The following is a 27,941-nucleotide window of genomic DNA, read 5'->3' on the forward strand; positions in this document are numbered from 1 at the left end:
ATGGAATATAAAAGTTTGAGAGTTTAAAGAGGTTTATTTTAATCAGGGGAGTTGCTTTTCATAAAAAGCAATAAACTGTATTGTGAAATATAAAATTGCATTCAAAATTATATTTAGGTATAATAAAGGACAGCTCTTGGGCCAAAATATCACCATACTATTAATGATGATTATGCTTCTTAAATATATTTCAAAACTGATTTGCTCATGTTCTTAACTTCTTAACTTTCTAATCCTCATTTTAAAAGTTTTTGCCCTAAGCAAACAGAATTCAAGTGAGGAATGTGGCTACTTTCTGATTTTAAAATGAACATTTATATTTTATGGATAGAGAAATAATTCCACATAAATCTCAAGAAACACAATTTCCTAGTAAGAAGACATGCCTTACACAACTCCTTAAGGATGTCAAGAAAGTAATGAAACAAGGTAAATGAAACATTCAATAGCTAAAAAAAAAATTTTAAATATACCTATTTTCCACATTTCACACATTTGTTTTAGAATTGGACCTACACCAATTAAAGAAAAGGCAGACAGGAGATATTCTTTCACAGAGATTAGAGACTTAATAATATTTCCCTCAACAAGATAGCAAATTGAGAATTCAGAATTGCAGCTGAACTGTGAAAAGGTCTGTGGAATGGTCTACCAGACATCTGACCTGGGAATGCTGGATATATAAATGAACATTGTAAAACCATTTTTGTCAAAATGTCTTGATCTATAATATTTCCAAAACAGATGACTTATAATTTTTAAAATATGCAACACGCTTGACTTAGCCACATGAAACCATACTTACTTCCCCCATGTTATTTTTTAAAAAGTGAGCCATCTGAAGAATCCACTAAAAAAATGAAAGCATTAAACATTTTACCCTTTAATATTAAATCTTCTTATCTATGTTTCCAAACACTTAATCCTAATAATTTATGGGATCTATTAAGGAACAGATACTAGATTTTCCTGTAAAGCTATAAGACAGTCTCTGAGTTCCCATGAGAAAAATCTGTACCTCACAGAAAAACATGCATGGTAAACAGAGCACCTATTGCACTGAATCAGCACATATAAGTAAAATATCCAAAGGACTAGAAAACTGCATTCTAATCTTGTCTCTAGCATTAACTAGCTGTATTACTGTGGACAAATTATTAATCTCTTTGAACCTTAATGTCCTCATTTGTAAAATGATGGACTGTAATAGTCCTCACTCTGTTCTAAGTCTAAAATTCTCTGGTTGTGCCCTCAAAGAAGGGCACACACAATTCCCAACCTGACCCATTGTGTTTCCCGAATACTTCCCTCCTGAAGTTAATGAGAAGGACCCGATCCTCCAGTGGTCTCACCATACACTTATTACTAGGAAACCACTAGGGTCTTTATAATCCTGGAGTTAAGTGGAGGCCAGGGTTAATTTTAATTAAATATTCACAATGTCCTTATATGCCAAACGTGATTGTCTCCACTCATATACTTAAACAGTAAAACAACATTGAAACCTGGAGTCAGAAGTGCCAGATGTCAATCCGATTCTATCTCTTATCATTTGTGTGAGGTTTCAGACAGGTCTCTGAATCACTTTGCGTCTCAGTTTCCTCTTCTTGGGACAGGCCAATTAGGTGAAGAATAAATCTATCTGATTATGTATTTGGCAGTGCTTTGAAAATTATAAAATAGTAAATAATGTATTGCATTATTTCTTCCATTAGCAAAAATATCAGTATTTACGTATAGCTATGAACTTTTAGTTTTTATTTTTGTATGTTTTGAAGAGAGGTTAAGCTAAGTATTTTTCTAGTTTAAAACTTTAAATACAGAAACATATTTACTTATGGTAAACATTCAAACAATTCAGATATATAGAAAAACAGTAAAGTATCTTATCTTGCCATCCCCCCACCTCTGTTCCCATCTACTTCCCCCTCCACAAAGATTTTCTATGTATCCTTTCTGAGTTTTTCCTGCACATTTATATAGATTGTTAAAGCACCTCTGTATATGTTTTAAATTTATCATTTAATCATATATATTATAAGTAAAGTTTCGGTGCCACAAAAGAAATAGCACTCAAATATAAAATTTTCTTTTTTCTTCTCAGCATGGCAATTTACTTCTATAGAAGGATGTGCCCTTACAGATGGAGCAATGGTGAGCACACACTTGGACAAGGGAGGGGAAGGGGTTCTCATCCCTGACGCGGGTGGCCCCTGCTGCTGTGTTGTTCCCCTATTGGCTAGGGTTAGACCAAACAGGCTAAACTAATTCCAACTGGCTAATTTAAAGAGAGAGACAAGGTGAGTGGTTTGGTGGGAGTCAGGGTAGATCAGAATGAGTCAGGGTGGAGCAGGTAATCGGAATGAGTCAGGGAGGAGCAGGTAATTGGAATGAGTCAGGGTGGAGCAGGTAATCAGAATGAGTCAGGGTGGGGCAGGCGATTGAAAAAGGTTGCTTTACGAGGAAGTTAAGTTTAAAAGTAGAAGGCAAAAAATTGAACATACTGACATATTGATTCTTTGAAAAGAAATTTAAAACTCATATCTAATATATATGACAGACAGTTTCATGTCAGTATATATATAGAGCTCTACCTTATTTACTGCATAATATTCTTTACTGGGCCATAGTTTATGTAACTTTCACTTTTGATGAACATTTATTTTGTAACATTGTTTTGACTGAATTTCCCTGATTTCTAGTAAGGTTAATCATCTTTTTATGTATCTGTACTTCTTTTGTTAACTACTTAATAAATTTTGTCATTTTCTAAAGGACAATGTATCTTTTTCTTCTGAATCTTTAACAATTCTTTATAGTCGATGTTAATATTATACAAGCCATAATTTTCTGCAAATTCATCACTTATTTATCTTTTACTACATAAAGTATTTAAATATTTATTTAGTCAAATCTATCAAATTTTTGCTTTATAATCCCCAGGTTTTGTTTAACATTTCTAGATGTTATAATTCCCTAGATTTTATGTGGTATCTCAAAGTAGGACAAATACAGACCTATGAGTTGCAGAAAGCATATTCTACCAGTTTGCAAATGCTTTATGAATTAGAAAATATTTGAAGAGCCAGATGAGGTCCTAGGCTAAATGTGAAAATATATAAAAGAGGAAGAGAAAAAAGTTGGAGAAGGGGCAGGTGATTTAATAGTCTAACAACTACTGATACACAATAAGCACTGAGAGGGAAAAGAAATAGAAGACACATTCACTTGTCTCCCTTCCAGAGGTTTGCAATTCAGGTGGAGGCAAAAATATTTTAAGTAACTTAAGCAGCAATGACTGAAGAAAAAAATTGGCAGTGGGTTTCAAACCAGTGAAGTCCATGGAGTTGACAGTTTAATGGGAAAGAAAATTCTGATGGTTCTCAAAAGGAGTGGTGAGCTGCAATTCTAACTCCAAAAAATGTTTAAACTTTCCCTGAAGTATAATAAACATCAGAAAAGTACTCCTATAATAATTAAAAAGCTCCATGAACTTTTTCAAAATAAACTCACCTGTATAACCAGCACTCAGCTCAAGAAAAAGTACATGACTAGCACTCCAGAAGCCTCTCCCACTTCCTTCTAGTACTCCCCAAATGCCCAGACTGGTTTGACCTATTTTTGTATTTTGTAAAAATGGAACTATATACAATGTACTTCTTTCTCTCATAAACATGCTTGTGACACTCATTCAAATAACTGAATGTAGTTGTAGACTGTTCATTCCCATTACTGTATTATTTTCCATGGTGTGAATATGCTAATATATCCTTTATCCATTATACTGAAGATGGGTAGTCTGTATAATTACTAGTTGTAGGCTCTTATAAAAAATACTGTTATAAACATGCTAGAACATATCTTTTGGGGAACATGTTTTAATTTCTGCTGAGTATACACTAGAACTGTTGGGTCATAGAACATACATATGTTCAGCTTTAGTAAATATAACCAAATAGTTTTCCAAAGCAGCTATAAAACTCCTTTAGCAGTGAATGAGAGTTCCAGTTTGCTACATTTTTGTGAACCCTTGTTATTTTCCACCTTTTTAATTTTTAGCCATTCTGTTGATTATGTAACAAACAAAATTATTATGGATAATATGAAACTCCAGATAATAGCAAATCTCTCACAAGATTAAATAATGAGAAGAAGTATGTAGCTTTTTAAAACAACATAGATATAATAGCGTTATAAAAAACTCATTTCACTAATAAAATGGTAGGGGGAAGTAAACACTTATTAAAGAACAGACCAAAAAATTGCTCAATTACGGAGCCACCAAATAATCCTTAATAGTGGGGGGAAATAGAAGAAAAGACAGAAAGTAGGAAGCATGGTGAGTAAGTGACCAATGGTCTGGAAACTATAACCTACAGCTTGAGTTCTCTCATTAAATGTTATGGTCCATCCTTTTCTATAAAGACAATAGCTATTTTATTTCAGGAGTACGAGTTTCAGTAAATTTTTAATTAAAAAATAATATAAAAATATATTTCGGCAAGAACTTAGGGAATAGCTTTCGTATGTGCCACAGTGTGTATATGATTTCCTATCTGTACCATGTAAGATACATTTCTTTAAAAACCGGGCATGTACTTATAATTAAAAAAAAATACCAAGCACAATCTGTAATAATTCTACCATACCTCAGTCTAATAATCAACTGTTTAAAAAATCCCAGACTTTCACTTAAATTATTAAAAAACATCCGGCAAAAAGGGAAAACAACAATTGACATGTATTTTGCAAGTGACTAGGACTAAGACGTGGCCTCGGCCACATGCTCCTGGAAAATGAGGACCATAACTTGCAACTTATCACAGCTCTTCTCTACAGGTTTAGAAGAATAGTACTCTTAGCAGAAATTCAATAAATCCTACTCATCAACATGTTAGATCTGTAACTATTGACCAAACTTATACATGCTTTCATTGGGGCTAGCAGAAAAGTGATTAGATATTTATATATTTAATTCTGATAGACCTAGTTCAAAATACTTAAATCATTTTTTAATAAGACTTTGTAAATAGGCATAGATTTAAAAAGTTATATAAAAACAAACACTATGAACTTCAAGAATAAAATAGCCACAAACTATGTTCAAGATCGTCTGCCAAACAGAGAAAACCTTTCTTTCTAAGTAAAGTTTTAGCTTATTATTTCTCCAAAGTTCACTGGATGAGATTTACATATGATTACTCTAACCAACGAACCACAAAAAAAAACAAGCATGATTTTCTAGGAGTTTGTTTGTTTGATGTTTTTAAGGTTAGAATTTATAACATGTATAAGTTATATCTATCTTAGATATTTTATACTTAATAGAGTGAATAACAGAGTTTATAAAAACTTGTATATTTGCAGTTGATTACGTAATTTATGAACTCTGAGAATTCATTTAATTAATCAAAAGTTTTTAAGTGTTAAGTGTAAAAATGACTGAAGCATACATAAGAGCTTTAAGAAACCATTAAAAATGCTAATGAAACACTGGAGGGAAAATAATCAGGAAACTGAAAGAAAACTTTTCGATGGCAAAGAGTTTTTCACTGAAAAGACAAGAATTGTTGGGAATGAAAAACAGAGTTAATGCTACAGAACTAATCAAACATAAATACTGACTATAAATAATCAACAAGTAGTCATCAAAGTGGAAGTATACAACATAGTATGGTGCCACAACTGTGAATCTCTATTAAATTCCAGATAACTCTAAATTGTTTTCTTGAGATTATGATCAGATTTGTTAAGTACTGTATTTCAACAGAATGGCAATGCTGCATTACAACAAAATCACAGATAAATAAAATATGTTAACAGTATACAAGTACTAAGATTTTCTAGTCCAACACATGTTATGTCAGGTACAACCAGTCACACTAAAAATAAAATGCTAAAAACTCACTCACTGTCTTCTGTGGGAAGGACCTGCAGGGAATAAATCCACTCTATTATATCATCTTTGTTCACCACATCTAAGGAATCCAACATATCCAGCCCGGAGAGTGCAAAAAATGCAATTGTCAACCTAAAAGAAAAAAATGTAAAATTCCATCTTAACTATCATACCACTTAAGTCTGAAGTCTTCCTGGTCTAGAAAAATAATAAAATCATTCTAATTTTCCAATAATTTAAACAATACTTCCACCTTGCAAAAGCAAAAAATATATATATACATATTCTTGTAACTTAATACTATCAGTCAAGCCTTTTGTTTCAATTTTTCAAAAGGGGACATTTGGGGGTTAAGAAACCAATCCTACCCCATTGACACAAACAAGACCCACTGAAGCCAGAATATCACCAAACTGAAGGCTAAAGTAGATTTAAAAAAGGATTCTCTACAACTAATCAGTACAAATAGTACAGGACTTAGAAATATGTGAAAATGTCAATTTTCACTAATTTGTCAGGATCAATTATAGCTTGTATTTAATTCTGGAGGAATATGAGAATAATGTCTTAATTCAAAGGTGTTCACAAATAACATGATTCCTTGGGAAAAGATTTATAATAAGCTTTGAGAAATATAAAACATTTAAAAAAATACAAATGTACTTACACTCTATTTTCCCAGAGAGGAGCATTCTTTGGCAGAATGAAAAACTATAGAGCAAAACCTTCCCCCTCTGAAACTGTACACTATAAATCAGAAATCTAAACCTGTGCTTTCATATAAAAATCAGTATCTTACCGATGGCTTTGAACACAAAGAATTTGTTATATATAATTCCTTTCATGTTGAGAAGCAGTCTCTAGTATAGCTTGATTGAGTACTGTTACATCATTTCCATAATCTAACAATTCATATGACTAATAGTAATAAATTAACACTTCAAATTATCTGGTCTAAAATTTTACAGCAGAGCTACCTGATGTATTCTGTAATCTTTTCAATGAAGATTCTAAGAAATAGTTAAGCCTTAATGTCCTGAGGTATCCACTGTATGTAATAAATTTACTTCTCTCCTGTGCATCTAGAGTACTATTATCTAGAATAGTACTACAGGTTGAGTATCCCTTATCTGAAATGCTTGGGACCAGAACTGTTTCAGATTTCAGATTTTTTTTTGATTTTAGAATATTTGCATATACATGAGATGATACCCCACTGGGACAGGACCCAAATCTAAATATGAAATTCATTTAAATTTCATATACATCTTACACACGAAGCTTATTTTATATAATAGTTTAACAATTTTGTGCATGAAACAAAGTTAGTGTTAAGCACTTATGTGTGGAATTTTTCACTTGTGGCTTCATGTCAGTGCTCAAACCGTTTCTGATTTTGGAGTCTCTCAGATTTTTGGATTAGGGATGCTCAATCTGTACCAACTTTAGGAGAGATGAGAAAATAGTGATTTCTTCTCTTTTTTTTTTTTTTAAGGGCAAATTATCGCTCTGATCCCTGGTGGAAAAAGACTAGCAGCATCCATTAGATAACAGGAGGAGATATCAGAAAGTAATTTAATTCCAACCAAAGCTTAAGGGCAAAAACTAAAACTACAGAGATTTGGGTGCACTTCAGAAATAAATATTTGGGAAACATCCTATTGAGAGACTATTACCATGTATTAGACACTGAGCTGGGACATTTCTCATATATTATCTCAATTTAATCCTAACAACACACTGAGATCTATTTGAATTAGAGAGGTAATTTATCTAGGTAAGATCAGGATTATATTAAGGGCAGTGGAACTCCTTTATGTGGGAAGCAGTGTTGTACAGTAGTTCAAAGCTCAGACTCTGCAGTCAAATTTCAAGTTGGCCAATTTCACTAGACTGACCACATGACTCTGGGCAGGATACCTAAACTTTTCTAATCAGCTTCCAATAATTATTTTAATCATTACTATACCTTATACAGTAATTGTGCTTACCTACTCACAATAAGCACGCAATAAATGGAAGCCATTATCCTTGGTCTTTGCCATGATTTGGAGGGACAAGAGTAACAACGACTTTAGGATCTAATCACAGTCTATAACACTACAGGCCTTTTCTATAGACTCTTGGTTGTAACCATTTTCCCCAGAGGAATGTGCTTCTCCAAACACAATAAACCTTTAGACATGGGAAAAACCTCTACATAATAGCAACAAAGTGTGAAAATCACTGCCCTTGGTGGTAATTATGTCTCATGAGAGAAGGTCCACTTTGTTTGTATGCACTCAAATATTTACTGAACTAATAAAGGACCTGCAATACTACATCTAACCCTCCCGGAGAGCTCTAACAGGGTTTTTTGGTTTTGATATAATACATAAAGTAAATGATTATATTTATAGTCAGGTACAATTAAGCATCTACTAATACAGTTTATTAAAGCGTTATTAAGGAAAAGGGCAAAAAGAAGACAGAGACAAAAGTGGAGGAAAACATGAAGGACTTGAGGTCAGACAATGGATAAAACAAAGATCTTCCTGTCAGTAAAAGCTATGTAGTAAGAGAATTTATGCAAAAGGCTATAAAAACAAGTTGGCATTTTTTTCAAAATTAAGAAATTTAGAAATGATCTAGTCCATCTCTTTGATTTTCTAACTGAAGAATATAAAGCCCAAAAAATTCAAGTAATTTACTTGAAATTTCAACACTAGACAATCAAAACTACTCAAGAAGTCTAAGTCCCAAAGTGGTATTCTCCACAGGGGTGCTTCTCATTAGAATCTGCTTAAAAACTGCTCATTAGAATCTGCTTAAAAACAAACGACCAAAACACCACCAACATAACATAGAGATCAAGGTCCTACTTCACAATCAAATCTATGGGTGTAAGGTGGGGTCTGGGCCCTTTCGGTTTGTTTTTGTATTTAACTTCCCAGGTAATTTTAATGTGCAGGCAGGTTTCAGAAGCACTGTTTGAGAACAGTGGTTCTCTACTGGGAACACTGACCCTAACATAATATATCATAATCAAACATTCTTGGTTGTCACAGTGGAGGAGGGAGTTACTGGCATCAAGTGGGTAAAAGCCACGGCTGCTGCTAAATGTCTACAATGCACAGGACAGGTCCATACAACCAAGAATTATCTGGCCTAAAATGTTAATAGTGCTGAGGTTGAGAAAACCTGCTTTAAGGTCATACTCTTATCTGTATACGTTATCTGAATGATCTGTTTGTCATGTTACTTGCTCCTGGATATGAATGCACTCTACATGTAAGTGCCAAATACAAGAAATCAGCCATGTGATGGTATTTTAAAATCTTGCATACTTAATTATTAAGGGCTCCTGAAAGTCCAGCATTTTCAACTCATAGGTGAAGACTTAGGGTGAGACCATAAGGTTTATGAGAGTAACAGAGTTATGGTGAATGGCTTATGTTTATAAAAAGAGGTCCCATCAGAAATGCTTGGCAGACAGAACCAATAAGTCACTTTGGGGCAAATATCTGGCCTCCTTTAAAATAGTCTGGGAAACCATTCCTCTTCCAATCACATCAGAATTCTCAAGTAGTCCTAAAACTGAAAGAGAGAGAATTAAAACAAGCCACAAAAAACACAAAGGAATTTTGGGCTGTGGGCCTCCCAGAGAAATAGTATAATGTAGGGTTTTATGGTTCCTAGATGACTTCTACTTGGGAATAAACTGCTGGGCAACCTGACTCAGCACAGGTGTATAGAGGGGTAATTGTGCGAACACACGCACCTAAAATCAAGCCAATGAAGTTATTTTTACTTTTTTACTTCTTTCAGAGAATATCTGTTTATTCTGTTTCTTCTTTTCCCTAGAACTCAATCTGAATCTGCAGCCTGAGAAGTGTAAATAAGCAAACAATATCTTTCTGTTCACCCCTCTTCTCTCACTCTGAACAATATGTATAAGAAGTTTATCTTACAAGGATGAAAAAGTAACATCCCCCAACCCCCAATCAAGTTGCTTTACCAAAGAATCAATTCACAGACAAGAGGGTTAACCTAAGTGTCTCCAAAAGATGTCAAATATTCCAGGCTTAAGACACGCATACCCCAAAGATTAAATAAGAACAACAAGAAGGATGGGCGCAGTGGCTCACTCCTGCAATCCCAGCACTTTGGGAGGTCAAAGCGGGTGGATCAACTGAGGTCAGGAACTCGAGACCAGCCTGGCCAACATGATGAAACTCCATCTCTACTAAAAATACAAAAAGTCAGCTAGGCGTGGTGGTGGGCACCTGTAATCCCAGCTACTAGGGAGGCTGAGGCAGGAGACTCACTTGAACCCAGTAGGTGGAGGTTACAGTGAGCTGAGGTTGCAGTGAGCCGAGATCGTGCCATTGCACTCCAGCCTGGGCAACAATAGCAAAACTCCATCTCAAAAAAAAAAAAAAAAAAAAAGAATGAAAAACAGTCTATAGTCTGGACAGTGGAAAAAAGAACTTAGTCATACTGATATAAGAAATATACTGAAAACACTAATTTATGAGAGTTGACTAGATTCCCAAACTTTGGATCCCTTGTCCTGACCCTTTCTGGTGCAACCCCATCCTTTACCAAGTGTCTTAAACAAGTGTCTTAAACAATGGACTACATTCCTGCCTAGATACCAGATGGGCCTATGACTACATCATATTGCATCTAAAATTATAAATAAGCATCTACATTAAGAAATAAGAACACAAATAAAATTGATAACCATGTCAGTGAAGAGAGAGCCTTAGATGATACATTAGACTTAATCATGAAGTTAAAATACTAGCACATAGATGCTGCCATAATACTTCGAAACAAATGACTGAAAGACTGCATGAATTCTGGAATTTTAAGCATTATTCTTCATTTATAATTATTTTTCAATGGCTGATTCAACTGGTAAATACTTTTAAGTACAGTCACATATCTGTGGAATTATTTAACTTGTAAAATAGTTTTTCTACTATCATACTTTTTCAATAAGAAACATCTACTGAACACCTACTACAGACTAGATGTCACCACAAAAATGAATAAAGCTTCCTAACCTTAAGGAGGTTACATGTTAAGTGCTATTACATGAATCATCTTCTTCCTTTCTCAACTGGCTCCTTTTGCCTTTTATTATCCAGACCAGATAGCAGTTCCAATTCAAGAATCCTGGGACTCCTTCTTTTTCTTCATCCCCTCTTTTCTAGCCCTACTTCACTGCCTCAGCATCTCTCTCCTGGACTACCACATGAGTGTCCTCATTGGTCTCCCTGGTTCTGGTCCTGTACCATGTGATATATGACTATATATATGACTATTCCTGTCACTTACATGATATCCAACTCATGTTTCTAGACAAGCACACAAAGCTTTCCATGATCTGATGCATGCCTACCTCTTCAGATTACATTCCTACCATATCCCTTTACATTTTGAACCACTACTAGAGAACTAATTGAAGTTTTCTGCTCAACACTCACTTCTCCAGCTTTATTCTTCTTATTGTCCATTTGCAACAACAACAACAACAAAACACTGGAACACATTCTTTAAGATTTAGCTTTGGGATTACTTCTTCCAAGAAGCCTTCTCTAGTCCCTGTCTCTCTTCAGGCTGAGCTACTTAGGTACTTCCAGAATGCCCTCAGAATATCACAATCATTTTGTCTAGTCAGGGGATTAGCCATAACAAAATCATCTGGGCACTTGTCAGAAATGCAGCATCTCCGGCTCACACTCAGCATCACACTCCTCAGCTATTGCAATATACTTTAACAGGCTGCTTCATGCAACACCGCAGCTCTTTCGCCTACCATTAGATTTACAGTTCCCATAAAGTAAATTTCTAAGACCTTAGACGTTCTCTGCTGCTCCTACACGTAAAACACCATACAGACACTCTATTAAGAGTTAATAACTTTACAGAGGACTGGGATGCACAGGAGTATTCATCTAAAAATACAATGACCCAGGCTTATGCAATCAGAATCTGCATTTTAACAAGATCCCCAAGTGATTCACATACACATTAGAGTTGGGAATCACTGCTGTAATAACTGCATATTTGTTTCTCCTATAAGGCAAACAGTCTCTAACTTTAGCCTGCTTTAGAACCACCTGAGATGCGTGTTATAATGCAGACTCCCAAGGCCCACACAGAATCCAATGAAGGTCTGGGAAGGGGCCCAGGTATGTGCATTTTTGAAAGCACATACAAGCCATTACTTAGAGTCTCCCACCACTACACTTTGAAAGATGTACTGCTAGACTGTGATATATTTAAGATAAGGGGGCCGGGCACGGTGGCTCACGCCTGTAATCCCAGCACTTTGGGAGGCCGAGGCGGGCGGATCACAAGGCCAAGAGACCAAGACCATCCTGGCCAACATGGTGAAACCGCATCTCTACTAAAAATACAAAAAATTAGCTGAGCGTGGTGGCACACACCTGTAGTCCCAGCTACTTGAGAGGCTGAGGCAGGAGAATCGCTTGAACCCAGGAGGCGGAGGCTGCAGTGAGGAGAGATGGTGCCACCGCACTCCAGCCTGGTGACAGAGTGAGACTGTCTCAAAAAAAAAAAAAAAAAAAAAAAAAGATAAGGGAGGAAACGAAAGAACAAAGTAGTTGCAGAATGGGAGGCAGGAGAGAGGTTACAACACAGGATACACAGGGGAAAATAGAGGGACATGAGAATACAAAGACTAGCTAGATTGTAAATGCTTTGTGAAATAAAAGCTAACTGCCTAAACCCTTCTTCTAGAAGAGGTGACTGTAAAAATAACAGAAAATTGTCACTACTTTGTTCCTTAATAAAAAGGACTACTCTAATTCCTATTACCCAAATACAAATGGCAAGAATAACTCATAACCACACTAAACTCCCTAAACTACTTATAAAAGAAACCTGGTAATTGATAAAGCTCCCAACCCAAGATTTAATATTCACTTGGATTATAAACTAGTAACTATCATTTTAAGAAGTCAATATAAAAGAAAAATCTCTGATGAAACCGCAGACAATACACTCTTTATTTTCATAAAGTCATTGTCACTAGAAAAGTAAAAATTATTCCTATTGGTCAGGCTAAAAGAAACAAGAAAATAAGAGTAATTTTGCCAAAATGGTGAATCTGAAAATAAGTGTCTAAATATCCAGTCTAATATTAGCCTTCTCAAAGCTTTTTCATACCTATTGGTAAAAAGAAACGAACAGAGGAACACCTGAATCATTAGTTTAACACTGTATACCTGTACCTAGACACATGGGGAGGCACTCTATGAATGACTGTGGAATTTAACTGCAATACCAGGTAAGAGTTGTGGCTTGCCCAATGTACTGTTTTGTCTTAAAGATCAGCAGAAACTTTGTGACCGGTCACCTTTGCTGAAAAGGTTGGAGTTTCTTCACAAGCATTTTAAAGTCAGTTATGAATCACATGCACCACAAAAGAACTTAGTGCTAAAGAAAATAAAGTCTGTGAGTTAGGAAAGAGAAAAACTTAAAATCACTACAGAAACTGACATATGCAGTTATCTTAAATGCGGTTAACTAGGCTATAAGAAAACCAAAATGATGTAAAAATTCTATTCATATGACAAACATTAGACAAAAAAGGATACAATATTGCTTAACCAATGCACCAAGGTGTTATATAACACCTGGTGTCGATCCTATGCTCATACTAAAGTTAAATAAGTCAGAAAATTTGTGCTGTTTTACTTATGCTGTGAACAGAATTACACAGTTTAATGCCAATGTGCATTATTCTATATGGATTTGTCCAAGCTGGAATTTTATAAAACAGGCCAAACACATTGGCATTTTGAAAATTAAATCACAGACTTATAGTGATAGCTGCAAGCAAAGTTCAACTGTTTAACAATCACAATTTAATCAGCTCACAGGACTTATACACTGCATCTATCTAAGCAGTGTATGTATACGATAAATATGCACATTATGTATCAATAACAAAAACAGGATGGAAGACTTTTTATCTAAAAGCTTTGAATTCACATAAAATTAATCCCTATTAAGATATAAACAATTTATCAACATTTTAAAACATCTCATATCACTACAATCATAACCTTTCGGTTTGGAAATCTGAATCTTTCAGTGAAGGTATAGGCTCTGCTAATCGATCAACACCTATGAGAGGAGGAAGGAATATAAACGTTTCACTCTTTCTTTTGTGAGAATCTGTTCATCCTTCAGGGCTCAGCTCACATTATTCAACAAATATTTCTTAGTGCTTCTCAGATACCAGGTACTATTTAAGGTCCTAGTGCAATGTTGACCAAAAGGACTAAGCTGTTGCAAATGTTGAAATAGAAACAATTGCCACTGGCCAATATGGCAACTGGGTACTTGAAATGTGGTGGCTACTACCAAAAGAATCACTTAATTTTTAATTTGATTTAATTAATTCAAATCAAAATAGCCAAATGTGGCTAGTGGCTACCAGATTGGACAGGGCAGCCCAGTCCTAAGTATAGAGGTAAACAAGATAGACGAAAATGTTACCTTTGTGAAGTTTATAATCCAGTGTAATAGAAAGACATTAAACAAATAAACCAATACATACGTAATGTGAGGTGGTCATTGGAAGTGGTCCCTTTAGGAAGGGTGTTTAAGGAAGGCCTCTCTAAAGATATCTGGATTATGTACATGCCTGTCTATATACTCCTATGAACACTACACTAACATATAGCACAGAACTCTATACAAATGCTTGTCTTGTTCAGCTGTACTCTGGCACCTACCATAATGTGGTTCTTGACCAAGTGTGCAGAAGTAATCTGCAAAGCTCCCCAAACTGATCCGGTCATGCAGTGTTCAAAATACACCAGCAACTCAGAATTTGGAAAACGTGGGGAAAGAACACAGCAAAAACAAGCCGCTCTTTCCTCCCATCCAGTCTCAAGCAGCTTTTGAGCTTCACTTCAAAACACAGCAATGCGGAGCAAAGATTGCCTTCTCCTTTCTTTCTTCTCATCCCCAGCTTTTACTGTAAATGAAGTCGCTTAGTCTCTGCCGCACCACACTCTTCAGCTATTGCGATACTTTTAACAGGCTGCTTCACGCAACACCACACCTCTTTCGCCTACCATTAGATTTATAGTTCCCACAAAGTTTCTAAGACCTTAGAGGTTCTCTGCCGCTCCTACACATAAAACACCATACAGACACTCTATTAAGAGTTAATGACTTTAGAGAGGACAAGGATGCACAGAAGTATTCATCTAAAAATACGACGACAAACTTTGTCCTTTTCCTTTTACACTCGGAAGTAATGAGGCAAAGTGACAGGCTATGGGAGCGGGTAAAAAAGCAGCTCAGAGTTGCCAGAAGAAAAGGGAAGTGAAAAAGCCGGAAACTGGAGATGCCACAGCCCTCGACCTACAGCCTTCCAGACCTTCCCACCGTACGGCGGGAGAGTGGGGGTAACCTCAAGCCCACTTGAAACCAGTCAGTGCCAACTGGGCGGCCGCGCAGCCCCCTTCCGGCGCCCAGTTTGCGGTCCGACTCCGCCGCGCCTTTCCGCTGGAGCCCGGGCCTTGTGCCAGCCTGGCTGACTGTGCCACGAGTTACCTGCTTGTCTCGAGTGAAGAATAGCGCTCCGGCAAAACCTGGAGGCAGCGCTGGAAAAATCGCACGTGCCGATCCCGTAAGAAATCCAGCCGCTCTCCCTCACCGCTCCCTGCTAGCCTCTCATCCTCAGTGGCCGCCATGCTGCTCCGGAAGCGACGTCCGCCGCGACCCGGAATCAGTGCCCGCGGAGAGAAAGAACCCTCCTGTGCTGAACCACAGGGTGCCGGGTGAGGGGACCTGCGCCCGCCGCAGACTAAGCCAGTATTTGAAACCGCTATCATCTGGGTCCTGTGCAGCACTTCCTCTCTCCGATATCTCCCTAGCTAGCGCATGACCCTACCTTTTCTACTCAAAGCCCTCGAGGCTTGTAAACACCTCGCAGGCCTTGTGAAAATCAAGTCCACAAATCCCTCCGTCAGAATTTTTATCTTGGGAAGCGCAAGGTCAAAAGCATCAAGTACGCTTTGAGACAATTCTGGCTCTGTAGAACCTGAGGATGGTATATCTGAAAACGAGGATGGATCAGTATAAACTTGCTAACAGATTCATTTTTGGAGGGCCAGTTTTAAGCCGAACGGTTAGGGAAACAGAAAAACAAACCAGTGGAGATAAATGTTTATTGACACTACAAAAGCTCAGAGACTTTCCTAATCTTAATCCTTTCTGGATACCAGGAATCACTTAAAAATCTGTGTATAATGCCCCCAAACATATACAACATGCATATTCATACCTATATATGACTGCTTGCGTCATTCTTTTACAAATCTTACAGATTTTACTTTGCTTGAGTCGACGTGTTATCAAGAATCAATGGTGCATCAATCTGCAACAGCAAAATAAGCTCAATATCTTCTCCAATTACCTGCATTCTAAAAAATTTAAACATGCTTCTAGTTCTTTTTTCCAAAAATAGGGATTTAAGTTGTTTAGCCGGTATACTATGCCCTTTAAACTTTCATGAGGCATTCCTGAGTAGCGGGTGGGGGGATCCACCCAATAATATAACTAAACTAGGTTCCCTGTGATCAACTTAGCTAATAAAATTTTGGGTTTAATTTTGTTAGCTTTCTTAGAAAATGTAATTCTTATACTCTATGGGCTGGGGTAATCTTACACTTATTCAACAATCCAAAGTGCTCTGAATAATTTTTGGTACTATTAACTACTTATTCACAGGTATTCCTGCATGTCTTTACAAAATGCCGCATTTAACAGCCACAGACGGATTCTAGGCTGTCCTCGGTACTTCCCTACAAATACGGAGCTCACAGTCCTTGCCCTTCAGGTGTGCCCAGTCTGGAGTTTCCACTGTTATTAAAATTAAGATCTCTCACTTAGCACACATACCCCCAAATGCCTGAAGATTTTTAAAGTGGAGTCTTATACACATTTAACTTACTGGAATCAGCTATGGACACTCTATACATTCTCAGAAAATTAATTCTAATAAACATGGCCCTTAAGTTAGGGAAGCCAAATGTTTCATCTGATTCTCAGCTCAAGGACTAGCAATCTGATCCAAATCTAGAGGAAAAATTTGCAATGTGGGACTCATTCAGAGATAATACAGAATGCCTCCTAGGTCGGTAAAAGGCTTTCCATGAGTGATTTTATCCCTACAAGATTTTTGGCATGTGCATAACAGAATGGGAATGATAGAACATCTATATAATTGAGTGTTATTTAGCCATTACATGATAATGTTTGAATTAGGTAGAAATGTACGAAAATGTGTAATGCAATTATAGCATAGTAATTAATATGTACTGTATGACTGTAACAATTTAAAAATATGTAGGTATGTTTTTTGAAAAAGTTACCCTGGAATTATGGGTACTTTATAACATTTCTTCTTTAGTGTTTTTTCTATGTTTCTTATTAATGTAGTTTTTTTGTTTCCAGGCTTACTTCATTTTATTTTTCTTGTACAACCCGATGTTGTAGCCACCGCTGGAGCCTGGGTCCTCTGCACGGAGACTCTGGTGTGGGTCTTGAGGAGGTGGTCAGTGAATTCCTGATAGGGAGACTTGGTGAATACAGTCTCCTTCCAGAGGTCAGGGTTCAGCCTGCTGTAGACCTTAGAGATGGCATAAAAAATGACCATGACGAAGTTGCCCAGGATGGCAGTGCAGCCCCTGGCTGAGGTGTAGCAGTCATTGATAGCTGCCATCAGCAGCAGCTTCTTGGCCATGGGGGCCGAGACGATGCCAGTGCTCCTGGGCGCAGGGATGACCCGCGCCAGCACAGAGCCGTGGCAGCCTGTCACCTTGCAAGGGATGGTGTGGGGCTTGCCGATCTTGTTCCCCCAGTAGCCTCTGCGCATGGGCACAACGGAGAGCTTGGCCAGGATGATGGCCCCGCAGATGGCAGTGGCCACCTCCTTGGAGCACTTAACACCCAGATCAGTGTGGCCACTGTCCCTGATGGCAACAAACGCCTTGAACCTGGTGTTCTGGCCGGTGCAGGTCTGCTTCTGCACTGGCACGTCTTCAAAACCTCCTTCTTGAGAGAGGCCCCAGGAAAAAGTCAATGATCACAGACTCCTTGATGGGCAGAGAGAAGAGATAGATCTACTCCAGGGACTTAATCTTCATGTCCTTGACCAGGCAGCCCAGCTTGGTGACAACCATCTACTCCTTGTCCTTGGTCTTGCCTCCACGAGCTCTGCAGCTGGCCCCGGCCCCGTCCATGGCCGCGACACGAGTTCCCCATCCCAGGGCCGGCTGAGACCCCAGTTCCCCATCCCAGAGCCCCCCGGGCCTCCGGGCCTCCCAGGTCCCCCGCTGCACCGGCATCATCCGCGATTTGGTGTTTTCTCAGAGAAAAAGCTAATGTACTTTTTAAACCAGTATAAGAAATATTTATTTGACATCTTGTTTATGAACCTGTAACTTCTATGAAGTCTGTAACTGAAGATATTTGTTTATCTTACATCTTTTATATAAAGGATCTATATAATAAATTCATCATTTATTTCAGATTCAGCTAGAAAAACTGATTTCTTCAGAGGAACTTCCATACTTTTCTTTATTTAAAAAAAAAATAAAAAAACAAAGCCATAAGAATCACATCATCCAGAATGCTTACCTTGGATACAGGAATTTGAAAGCTGCATTTCGGTGCAACAAAAAGCAACACGTAAAAAAGCAATATGTAAGAAACATTTTCTGTATCTTGTAGCTTCTCAGTTCTGCTTTTAATTTCCTCATCTTGCTCTGTGTTTTATTTATGTATTTATTTTTTGAGATGGAGTCTCACTCTGTTGCCCAGGCTGGAGTACAGTGGCACAATCTCAGCTCACTGCAACCTCCGCCTCCCGGGTTCAAGCGATTCTCCTGCCTCAGCCTCCCAAGTAGCTGGGAGTACAGGCGTGAACTACCACACCAGGCTAATTTTTGTATTTTTAGTAGAGATGGGGTTTTACCATGTTGGCCAGGCTGGTCTTGAATTCCTGACCTCAAGTGATACGCCCACCTTGGCCTCCCAAAGTGCTGGGATTACAAGCCTGAGCCACTGCACCCAGCCTCTATATTTTATCTCTGAACTACTTCAAATCATTACAAAAAAGTTTTGGATAACAAAATCAGCACTCCTGTTTAAGGATCTTTTATGTCAATTTTCTCATTCTGCACCAATAACTGTACAAATCAGAATTCAGTTTCTAAAATTTGGAAGCCATCTATTTTGAATATTAACTGTAAAATAAGAAAAGATTTTCACCGCTACTCATAGTACCTTTCTAACTGAGTCATTTAACCTAAATGCATCCCATTAACAATGAAAGATAAAGATAAACAATGAAAGATTAAGATAAAAAAAGATTTATAAGAGATAAATTTCCTGTGTTTTTATGTATATAGTATCTTTCCTATGAGAACAAATTAAATAACGTTAGAAAGGAATATTTTATAATATGAAAAGTTGAACTGTATTCAATTACATTGTGTTTTCATGTCTAAAAGTTTAGAAATTTAAGAACTAACTCTTGCCCAAATATGTTAATCTAACAGCTTTAAAAGATCTTATTCATTCATTCCTTCATTCATTCATTTTAGAGACAGGGTCTCTCTCTCACCCAGGCTGGAGTAGAGTGGTGCCATCGTAGCTCACTGCAACCTGGAACTCCTGGGTTCAAGTGATCCTCCCACCTTATCCTCCCAAGTAGCTGGGACTACAGGTGTGTGCCACCATACCCAGTTAATTAAACTTTTTTTTTTTTTTTCTGTAGAGACAGGGTCTCCCTGTGTTGCCCAGGCTAGTGTCAAACTCCAGGCCTCAATTCTCCTACCTTGACCTCTGAAAGTGCTGGGATTACAAGCATGAGCCACCATGCCCCACCTAAAACATTTTAAGTGCCATCAAGAGAAATCACAGTATTTTAAAGCTGGCTTATTTCAGATGATGTTTCAGAACAAAGAATTTTCCTATTTTGAGGCAAACAGAAGCAGAAAAGAAAACTGCATTAGCCAGGAAGATGTGAAAGACACAAAGATTTTATAAATCTGTGAAATCCAGAAAGGCTGAAGGAAAATTTGGAATTGCTGAAGGAAACCAAAAAGATTATATCAATAATACAATTAATAGGGTATATGAGAGACATATTTTTAAAATAAATATTCTCTATATAAAACAAAGCATGCTTCAAACAAATACAAAATATTTATTACACAAAAATGTCATAACTGACAAACTGCCAATTTGTTAAACATAGAAAAAGTACTAACATTTCGTAACTCTAAACAAAAACCACTTTACCTTTTTGTTACTCAAGCTAACTTAACTCCAAGTTATAAAAGTTACAAAATTTTGGTTTAAAAAATGTCATTGTATGATTGTTCCAATTTACTTTGCTATGCTATAACAAAAACAAAATCTCTTTGAAATGTTTTCAGTATTTAAATTGAATAATGTTTCTAACATTAACTTATTTAAATAACTTTTACATCAATAATAGGCCAACACATATATTAAATACCTTCTTGGTAGAAGCAGGAATACTAATGACAAAGCCTCATGAAACTTAATACCTCTCAATTCACAATATAGCACAATAATCAATCTGACTAAGCTATTGATATTTAAAGAATGTGGTTAGTCACTCTCTCCCTGGTATAACTTAGTATGTTAACATTCTTATCAACTGAGTAGCAATTTGATTATCTCATACTCTTCTCTGTATTCCTTGTCTCCAGGTTGGAATAGCCCTAAGGAGAAAAAGAGAAAAGCAATTGTAAATATGTAGGAAATTAAAAAGAAAAAAACCCTATCTGATTAAGTGCTAACTTTAAAATATATATATAACCTACCCTGCATGTTGTTTGGCTGGTTCATATGGGCATGTAGGTTTGCAACCCTCATTAAGGTTTTATTTCTAGCTCTAGCTCTCAAACTGATTGACAGACAAACCAATCAGTTAATCTACTTATTAATCTATCGATCTTTCATTCATTCTTTTTCAATACTACTCTCCTTATAAAAATAAATATTAATGTGAAAAAGGCAGAAAATGGCATCTACTAACATGAATGTAATATCTAATAGGGCATCAGGTACTACTTTTACTTTATTTATTTATTTATTTTTTTGAGACGGAGTCTCACTGTTACCCAGGTGGCACGATCTCGGCTCACCATAACCTCTGCCTCCCAAGTTCAAGTGATTCTACCTGCCTCAGCCTCCCAAGTACCTGGGACTACAGGTGCACACCACCATGCCTGGCTAATTTTTTTTGTATTTTTAGTAGAGATGGGGTTTCACTATGTTGGCGAGGCTGGTCTCAAACTCCTGACTTCGTGATCCGTCCTCCTTGGCCTCCCAAAGTGCTGGGATTACAGGCGTAAGCCACTGCACCCGACCTACTTTTACTTTTATCTACTGTTTATTTTTAAATAAAAGTGACCTGAAAGGCAAATATATATATATATTTTTCATATATATATGAAAAAATATGTATATTTATAGATATTATATATCCTTATATATTATATAAATATGTTATATATTTATATAAAAAAGATTTAGGTAAAAAACATTTATATATTATACACACTTACATATTATATTTTCATATATATATGAAAAATATAATTTACATATAGTAAGTGCATAAAATATAAACATGCAGCAATTAAATTACTAAATGAACACCAATTCTAACTCTTTCTTACCTATGTGGGATATGTAGAAGTGGCCCAGAGCCTGTTGGTCCTATCTTTTTGGTTCGTTCTTCCCAACCTTTGGTGGGTTTGTAAAGCCTAGAGGGATCTCTACTAACATTGTTTTCAACCTGTAATCAGAAGTAAAATAGTACCAGTTAATTATACAAACTCAGTTTGTACTAGTAAATAAGTAAAAGCCTTAGTGCAGTTTTAAAAGACATAGTTGATATTGGCTAATAAAACCATTAATAACCTCAGTAAACTTCTCATTGGGCTCATATAGCTAAAAGAAAATTTAGACTACATCAATCTATTCATAAACTGTTAGTTTATTTCTTTTAGTTCTATTATTTTATTCTATTCCTATTTTTCTATTTCTATTATGAGAGAAATGTAATGCAGCTAAGTATGCTAGTGATATAGCCAGACAACAAATTTAGGATAAGTAACTACCAATAAGTCTTCCGTTTTATCCATGAGGGTCACCAATATCTTTAGCTCTGAGTACTGCAAGAGAGATTAAGCAATGCTCATAGCTGCCATTGATCTAAAATAAAGGTTCATATAGAAACAAATTTTTAAATGACAAGTAGGGGGAACAATAATTCAGAGTGAAAGAAAACGGTGCTCATAAGGTAAAATGACAGAATTCAAATAATGGTTGCTTAAATTGTACCAAGTTATGCTTGCTAATATGTAAATAAGTATGAAATTTAAAGTAGATGTTATAGAAATAAGGTGAGATATAAAGGAAATAGATTTGATGTCAGTATCCTTACAAATCAAGGAATTAGGATAATAACAATGAAAATAATCTCGGTGCAGAGTACCTTTTCTTTTAATTTTGCCAGTCTTCTTTGTTTTTGTGACTTTTCATCTTCCTTTGCCTGTCTATCTAGAATTTTCAGTTCAAGTTTATGTAAATCCTTAAAAAAAAAAACCCATAGCATTAAGAAAGCATGTGAACTAGAATTTGTTCAAAATTTAGTTGTTCACAAGTAAAATTAAATTACCTTACCTATCAATATTCCTTCAATATTAATTCTTTCCAACAAAGCCTAAGAGCTTTATTTTCTCTGAATATAAATGTTAACACATGCACATCCCTTCTGTATTATTTTATTTTAGGCATCTCTTGTTTTCCTTTAAGGTTCAACCTAAAACTCCCTTTTAATAGGTGAGTTAATCCCATTTTCATTCATCAATGCAGGTATGTCTGATTTCAGATCTCTCATTATTTTATATTTTCTGTTTTGTGGGTTTTATTTTTTTCTTTTATTATGTGTCCTGCTTATTTTTGGGGTGTATGAGGAGGAATGGGAACTTTTGTTACTTAGGAAGATTTTTATATATGAACTAAAAGAAATGAACTAAAATTTTCAGTATTAATGTGCTTTGTCTGTGTTTTTGTCCGTTATTTTTCTTTGTACCTCCCTTAGTTTTTTGCTTTACAAACATTGCTGCTATATATTTTGATGCACATAACAATTCATAAATTATATCTCATTTGCACCCTTTTTCATTTTAAAGTCCCCTTCCTTGTCTTAATACTTTTTGGAATGAATTCTGCCAGTATGTCTTTATTAGCATTTTTCTTATATATGTTTGTTTAAAATCACCTTTAATTTGACCACCCAGCAATAATCTCGATTCCTTTAAGAAGATAAGTTTCTACAATGCACTTAACTCTAGGGTACAAGGATGTTCAAAAAAACACACCACTAATGCAAACACACCACTAATGCCCTCATGGAGCCTACATTATGGTGGGGAAATGAACAAATAGGCAAGTCATCAATATGGTAAAGCCAGCCAGTTTGGCAGAGAAGACAAATCATTCAGTCTTGCCTATGGCTACCTTTCTAGTCTCATCATCTGTTGGTTCCCCTCTCCTGCTTAATGCCCTAAGAATACTGAAGTGTTAATAGTCTCCATCACAAACCATACTGTTACACTCTTTCAAGCTGCTATTCATGCTGTTGTCTCTGCTAGGAAGGACCTCATTTTTCCTTCCCTTCTTCAAGACTCAACCTAAGTATTACCTTCTCTCTGCCACTCATAGCTGTGGTAGCGTCCCTCCCTGTACTCCCTCCTAAGTACTATGTCCATACCTCAATCACCACACTCTTTAACACATTATACTGCAATCTCCTACTTCCACATATCTTTCCCACTAGACTATAACCTACTAGAAGTTAGGGAGCACGGCTTACTCATTTTGGTATACTAATGCTATACACAGGTCCAATATACAAATACTCAATTTTTGCTTAACTGAATTTGGAAGTAATACCTCCATGTGTAGCATTTAAAAATTATTTAGGAAATAGATTTACTCACTCTTTCTTGAAATCTGGAAATTTCATCAGCAGCATTTTTCCTTTTTTCTGCCTTTTCTGCCTTTTCCCTTATCTCCTTTTCAAGCCTCAAAAATTCTTCCTGTTCTTTCTTCTGCTGGGTATAACTTTCTAGTAGTAATTTTAACTTAAACTGGCGCTGGCGTTCTTTCTGATGTTTTTTCTCTTTCTCTTCTTCTTCTTTTAACTGGGAAGCACATTTCATTGACATTTCTATACTTTTCTGTTTCTTCCAAGCTTCAACTGCCAATTTCTGTTTCTTTCTTTGTTCCTCTTTTTGCTTTTGATTATCCTCTTGTTTATTATGAAAAAGCACAGGTGTGTTGTCTGCCTTTTCCTTTAACTTGAAAATTTCCTCCCTTTTTTGCTGCTTTTTAGTTTTCCAAATCTGAATTGACTAAATGATTTTTTTAAAAAAAGAAAGCAAGAGAAAAAAGTTTTTTAATAGCCAAAAGTATTTTAAAATACATCAATTCCATCTTTCTAGAAAGAATATTGATTGCAGAATGCTGGATGCTTAGGTTTTTCAGCTTTGTTTTAACCATTGCAATTTTTTTCTACTTCTGTTTTTTAAAAATTGCTGTCTCTTAAAACTCTGAATAATGGGTCATCCTTTTGGCCTTCCTCTTTCTCTCTTAATCAAGTTCAAAAGGACTACAACTCATGAATGATCCTTCTCCTCTTTACTGCTTCTTTTTTTTTTTTTTTTTTTGAGACGGAGTTTCGCTTTTGTTGCCCAGGCTGGAGTGCAGTGGCACGATCTCAGCTCACTGCAACCTCTGCCTCCCAGGTTCAAGTGATTCTCCCGCCTCAGCCTCCCAAAAAGCTGGGATTATAGGCACCAGCCACCATGTCTGGCTAATTTTTTTGTATTTTTAGTATAGGGTTTCATCATGTTGGCCAGGCTGGTCTTGAACTCCTGACCTCAGGTGATCCACCCACCTTGGCCTCCCAAAGTGCTGAGATTACAGGTGTGAGCCACCGTGCCAGGCCTATCTGCTCCTTTTATTTTCATGGGCAACATCCCTTTCCTCTGATCATCTCATTTCTGCTTCCAAATTCTCTTTCTAGGCTTAGAATACTTTCTGAGTGATCTTTATCTGGTCAAATATCAGAAGAAGAATTAAGAGTAGGGTGGTTAAGAACATGAGCACTGAAGTCAGACTATTTGGGACCAAATCCTGGCAGTGCCATTTACTAGGTGTGGCATTGGATGAGCCACTAAACTTCTCTGTCCTCATTTTGCTCATCTATAAAATGGTAGGTAGGATTTCTTGCACAGTGTTGTTATGAAGATTAAATGAGTTAGCGTCTGGCACATAGTGCTTCCGAAGTATGTATAAATAAATAAATAAAACAGCTCAATAGCTACAGAGCTGTCTTTACATATGGGTATGTAAAAATTATTTCAAATTCTAGCAGGCTTCTCCATGCCATTTAGGGCATATTCACTGAATTACCTTCCCTCCAAGTCAAGAAACTATTTCCTCATCTTTCTTTATGGTGTATCATTCATTCCACTCAATAAATCTTTATGGTATGTATATATACTATAAACAAGGCAATGTGATAGGAACAATGAAACAATATTAAAACTATACCAAATGCCACCTAGTACAGTGCTACTCAAAATACCAGTCTGCAAAAATATTGGGAATTTGTGTTAAAACGCAAATCAATGCACTGCTTCTTTCAATGTGAAAATTTTCTATGGAAAAAAAAAAGTCAATTGAACTAAACAGTGCTCACTGCATAGTTAATTCTGGTGCAACTATTTTATCCCACTGTAAACCAGTAACAGTTTGCAAACCCATATTTAGTCCATGGACCAAGTCTGAGCAGCACTGTTCTAGGTGAAATTCAACATGGGCATACCACAACACATCATATAAAAGGTGTTAAGTGTCAGTGAAATCCTGAGGGAAGCTACTTATGTTTGGGTGGGCAAGGAGGAGGCAACATCTGATCTGGGCCAATTTTGATAAGCTGGGATTGGAGGGGGAAAGAAAGAATGGAGGTTCCAGAAAGTGAGAACAAGATAAGCAAAGGCATTCAGGCCAGAAAGTTCAGAGCATGTCTGAAAATGTCAGAATAATATCTTCACTTATTAAAAACACAAGACATATTAAAGGAAGTGGGAGATAAAAATGGTAAATTTACTACTCAACATCTTAAAACTCCGTAGATTTAAAACTGAACTCCTGATATTTTCCTCCAAACTTCCCTTTCCTCCTCCAACATGCCCTACTTCAGTAAATGGCACCTCCACTTTCACAAACCCTTCTATCTCACCCCTATGTCCTGCTCATATCGTATCAAACTGATGATATATCAGTCATCAAATATCAGGAAATAGAGCAGATGGGAACAAGGAAAATAAGCTAGAATCTGAATGGTTTACTTTTATCACAAGAAGCAGTGTGTCTGTTTCTTTTTCCTAAAGAGGTGGTTTTCATTAGCAGAATAAACTAGAGGACTTGGTAAAGCACAGATTGTTGGGCCTTACCCTCACAGTGCTAATTAGGTCTGGAGTTGGAGCCCGCTAAGTTCTAATAAGGTCCCAGGTGATGCTGATTTTGCTGGTCTAGGGACCACTTTGAGAATCCCATGTTTTCAGCATTCTGGGGAAAAAAGCCCAAATGACTTATGTTTCAAACATTTTTCTTAAAACCCGAGAAGTCAATTTCCCTACATTCAATTTATTGCTGGGGGGAGGGAGGAGAATGACAAGAACAACAAAAATGCAGCTATTCCCTCTAAAACTTTAGACTAAACATGGACTCAATTATTTCTTTAATATTCCTTGGGTATACCATCTATGGAATAAACACAACCTTTTTGTTAAACCAGGTAAGTCAAACTTCGTCATCACTGAACTCTACAAAAGAAAAAAAAGACTCTGACTTACTGTGGTTCTCAACTAGGGGCTATTTTTCCCCTCCAGTGGACAACTGGCTAGAGGCATTTTTGATAATCATAATTAAGGAGACATTATAAGCATCTACCCGCTGGAAACCAGGGATGCCATCCTATAATGCACAGAACAGGCCCCCACAACAAAGAATTATCTAGCTCCAAATGTCAATAGTATCAAGGTTAAGAAATCCTGATCTAATGCAAAGCCAGAGTAATATTTTTGTAAAAATGGACCTTTTTAGGTATCTGCCACAATCAGGCGTTATTTTTTTTTCTGGGGTAGCTAACATTTTGAGTCTTTAAAATAAGCAATATGGTTGAAGTTTAAAAATCTCAAAGAAATGTTTACTAGTCAAAGCATTTTTTCTACTGCCTCTTGATTTTTCTATTCAAAACAATGTGGCCTTTGCTCGTAAGATGACTTTTTTCAAAAGTCTCAGTGGATCTGGATTGCTCACATTTCTGAGAAGTGGATACGGAGGACTGGACCCATAATCAGAGGCTTTTTGTCCCATTATGTTATTTGTGACAGAGACATGTTTGGCTATGAGGAAGTCCAAATGTTGTTCTATTAATTGGGTAAAATTACTTAACTTCCTTTTTTTATTTTTATTTTTTCTTGAGACTAGGTCTCGCTCAGGCTAGAGTGCAGTGGTGCAATCACAGATCACTGTAGCCTCAACCTTCTAGGCTCAAGCAATCCTCCCACCTCAGCTTCCCAAGTAGCTGGGACCACAGGTGCGTGGCACCATGCCCAGCTAATTTTTCTGTATTTTTTGTAGAGACAGGGTTTTGCCATGTTGCCCAGGCTGGTCTCAAACTCCTGAGCTCAAGTGATCCATCCGCCTTAACCTCCCAGAGTGCTGGGATTACAGGTGTAAGCCACTGTGCCTGGCTAAAATTACTTAACTTTCAATGCCTCAGTTTCATCTTCTATTAGATTGTCGGGGGCGGGGAACTATAAACACACTTCATGGGATTGCTGTAAAGTTAATGAGACATGTTAAGTGTTTAGTACAG

The 27,941-nt window shown here is 36.7% G+C and overlaps 2 protein-coding genes and 1 pseudogene across 11 annotated transcripts in view, besides 2 other annotated features; all 3 read right to left on the reverse strand.

Annotated features, from left to right (window-relative positions):
* The window catches only part of PGGT1B (protein geranylgeranyltransferase type I subunit beta), a 58,866-nt gene extending 43,213 nt beyond the window's left edge, over positions 1-15,653 (reverse strand). For all 4 annotated transcript variants that reach the window (XM_011543490.3, XM_005272020.4, NM_005023.4 and 1 more), the window contains exons 1-2: positions 15,488-15,653; positions 5,913-6,031 (exon numbers count right to left, since the gene is read on the reverse strand). In XM_011543490.3, the coding sequence (XP_011541792.1) occupies positions 5,913-6,031; positions 15,488-15,627 (259 nt within the window). In that variant the 5' untranslated portion in view covers positions 15,628-15,653. The remainder of the gene's footprint in view (positions 1-5,912; positions 6,032-15,487) is intronic.
* Positions 15,512-15,691: an enhancer, noted in NCBI's record as "active region_22926". NCBI's record gives its function as "activates an Ori minimal core promoter by ATAC-STARR-seq in GM12878 lymphoblastoid cells {active_cell/tissue: GM12878}" and the evidence as "EXISTENCE:reporter gene assay evidence [ECO:0000049][PMID:35858748]".
* Positions 15,722-15,771: an enhancer, noted in NCBI's record as "active region_22927". NCBI's record gives its function as "activates an Ori minimal core promoter by ATAC-STARR-seq in GM12878 lymphoblastoid cells {active_cell/tissue: GM12878}" and the evidence as "EXISTENCE:reporter gene assay evidence [ECO:0000049][PMID:35858748]".
* RPS2P26 (ribosomal protein S2 pseudogene 26) lies at positions 17,390-18,007 on the reverse strand (annotated as a pseudogene).
* The window catches only part of CCDC112 (coiled-coil domain containing 112), a 29,465-nt gene continuing 21,489 nt past the window's right edge, over positions 19,966-27,941 (reverse strand). For 4 of the 7 annotated variants that reach the window (NM_001375898.1, NM_001375899.1, NM_001040440.3 and 1 more), the window contains 4 exons: positions 23,989-24,402; positions 22,479-22,574; positions 21,658-21,776; positions 19,966-20,694 (listed from right to left, as the gene is read on the reverse strand). In NM_001375898.1, the coding sequence (NP_001362827.1) occupies positions 20,652-20,694; positions 21,658-21,776; positions 22,479-22,574; positions 23,989-24,402 (672 nt within the window). In that variant the 3' untranslated portion in view covers positions 19,966-20,651. Of the gene's footprint in view, positions 20,695-21,657; positions 21,777-22,478; positions 22,575-23,988; positions 24,403-26,511; positions 27,904-27,941 lie in introns of those variants that run through there. The other 3 variants (NM_001375897.1, NM_001375896.1, XM_047416827.1) reach the window with 2 other exon arrangements.

Source organism: Homo sapiens, chromosome 5, assembly GCF_000001405.40.
Source record: "Homo sapiens chromosome 5, GRCh38.p14 Primary Assembly".
Classification (NCBI taxonomy): Eukaryota; Metazoa; Chordata; class Mammalia; order Primates; family Hominidae; genus Homo; species Homo sapiens.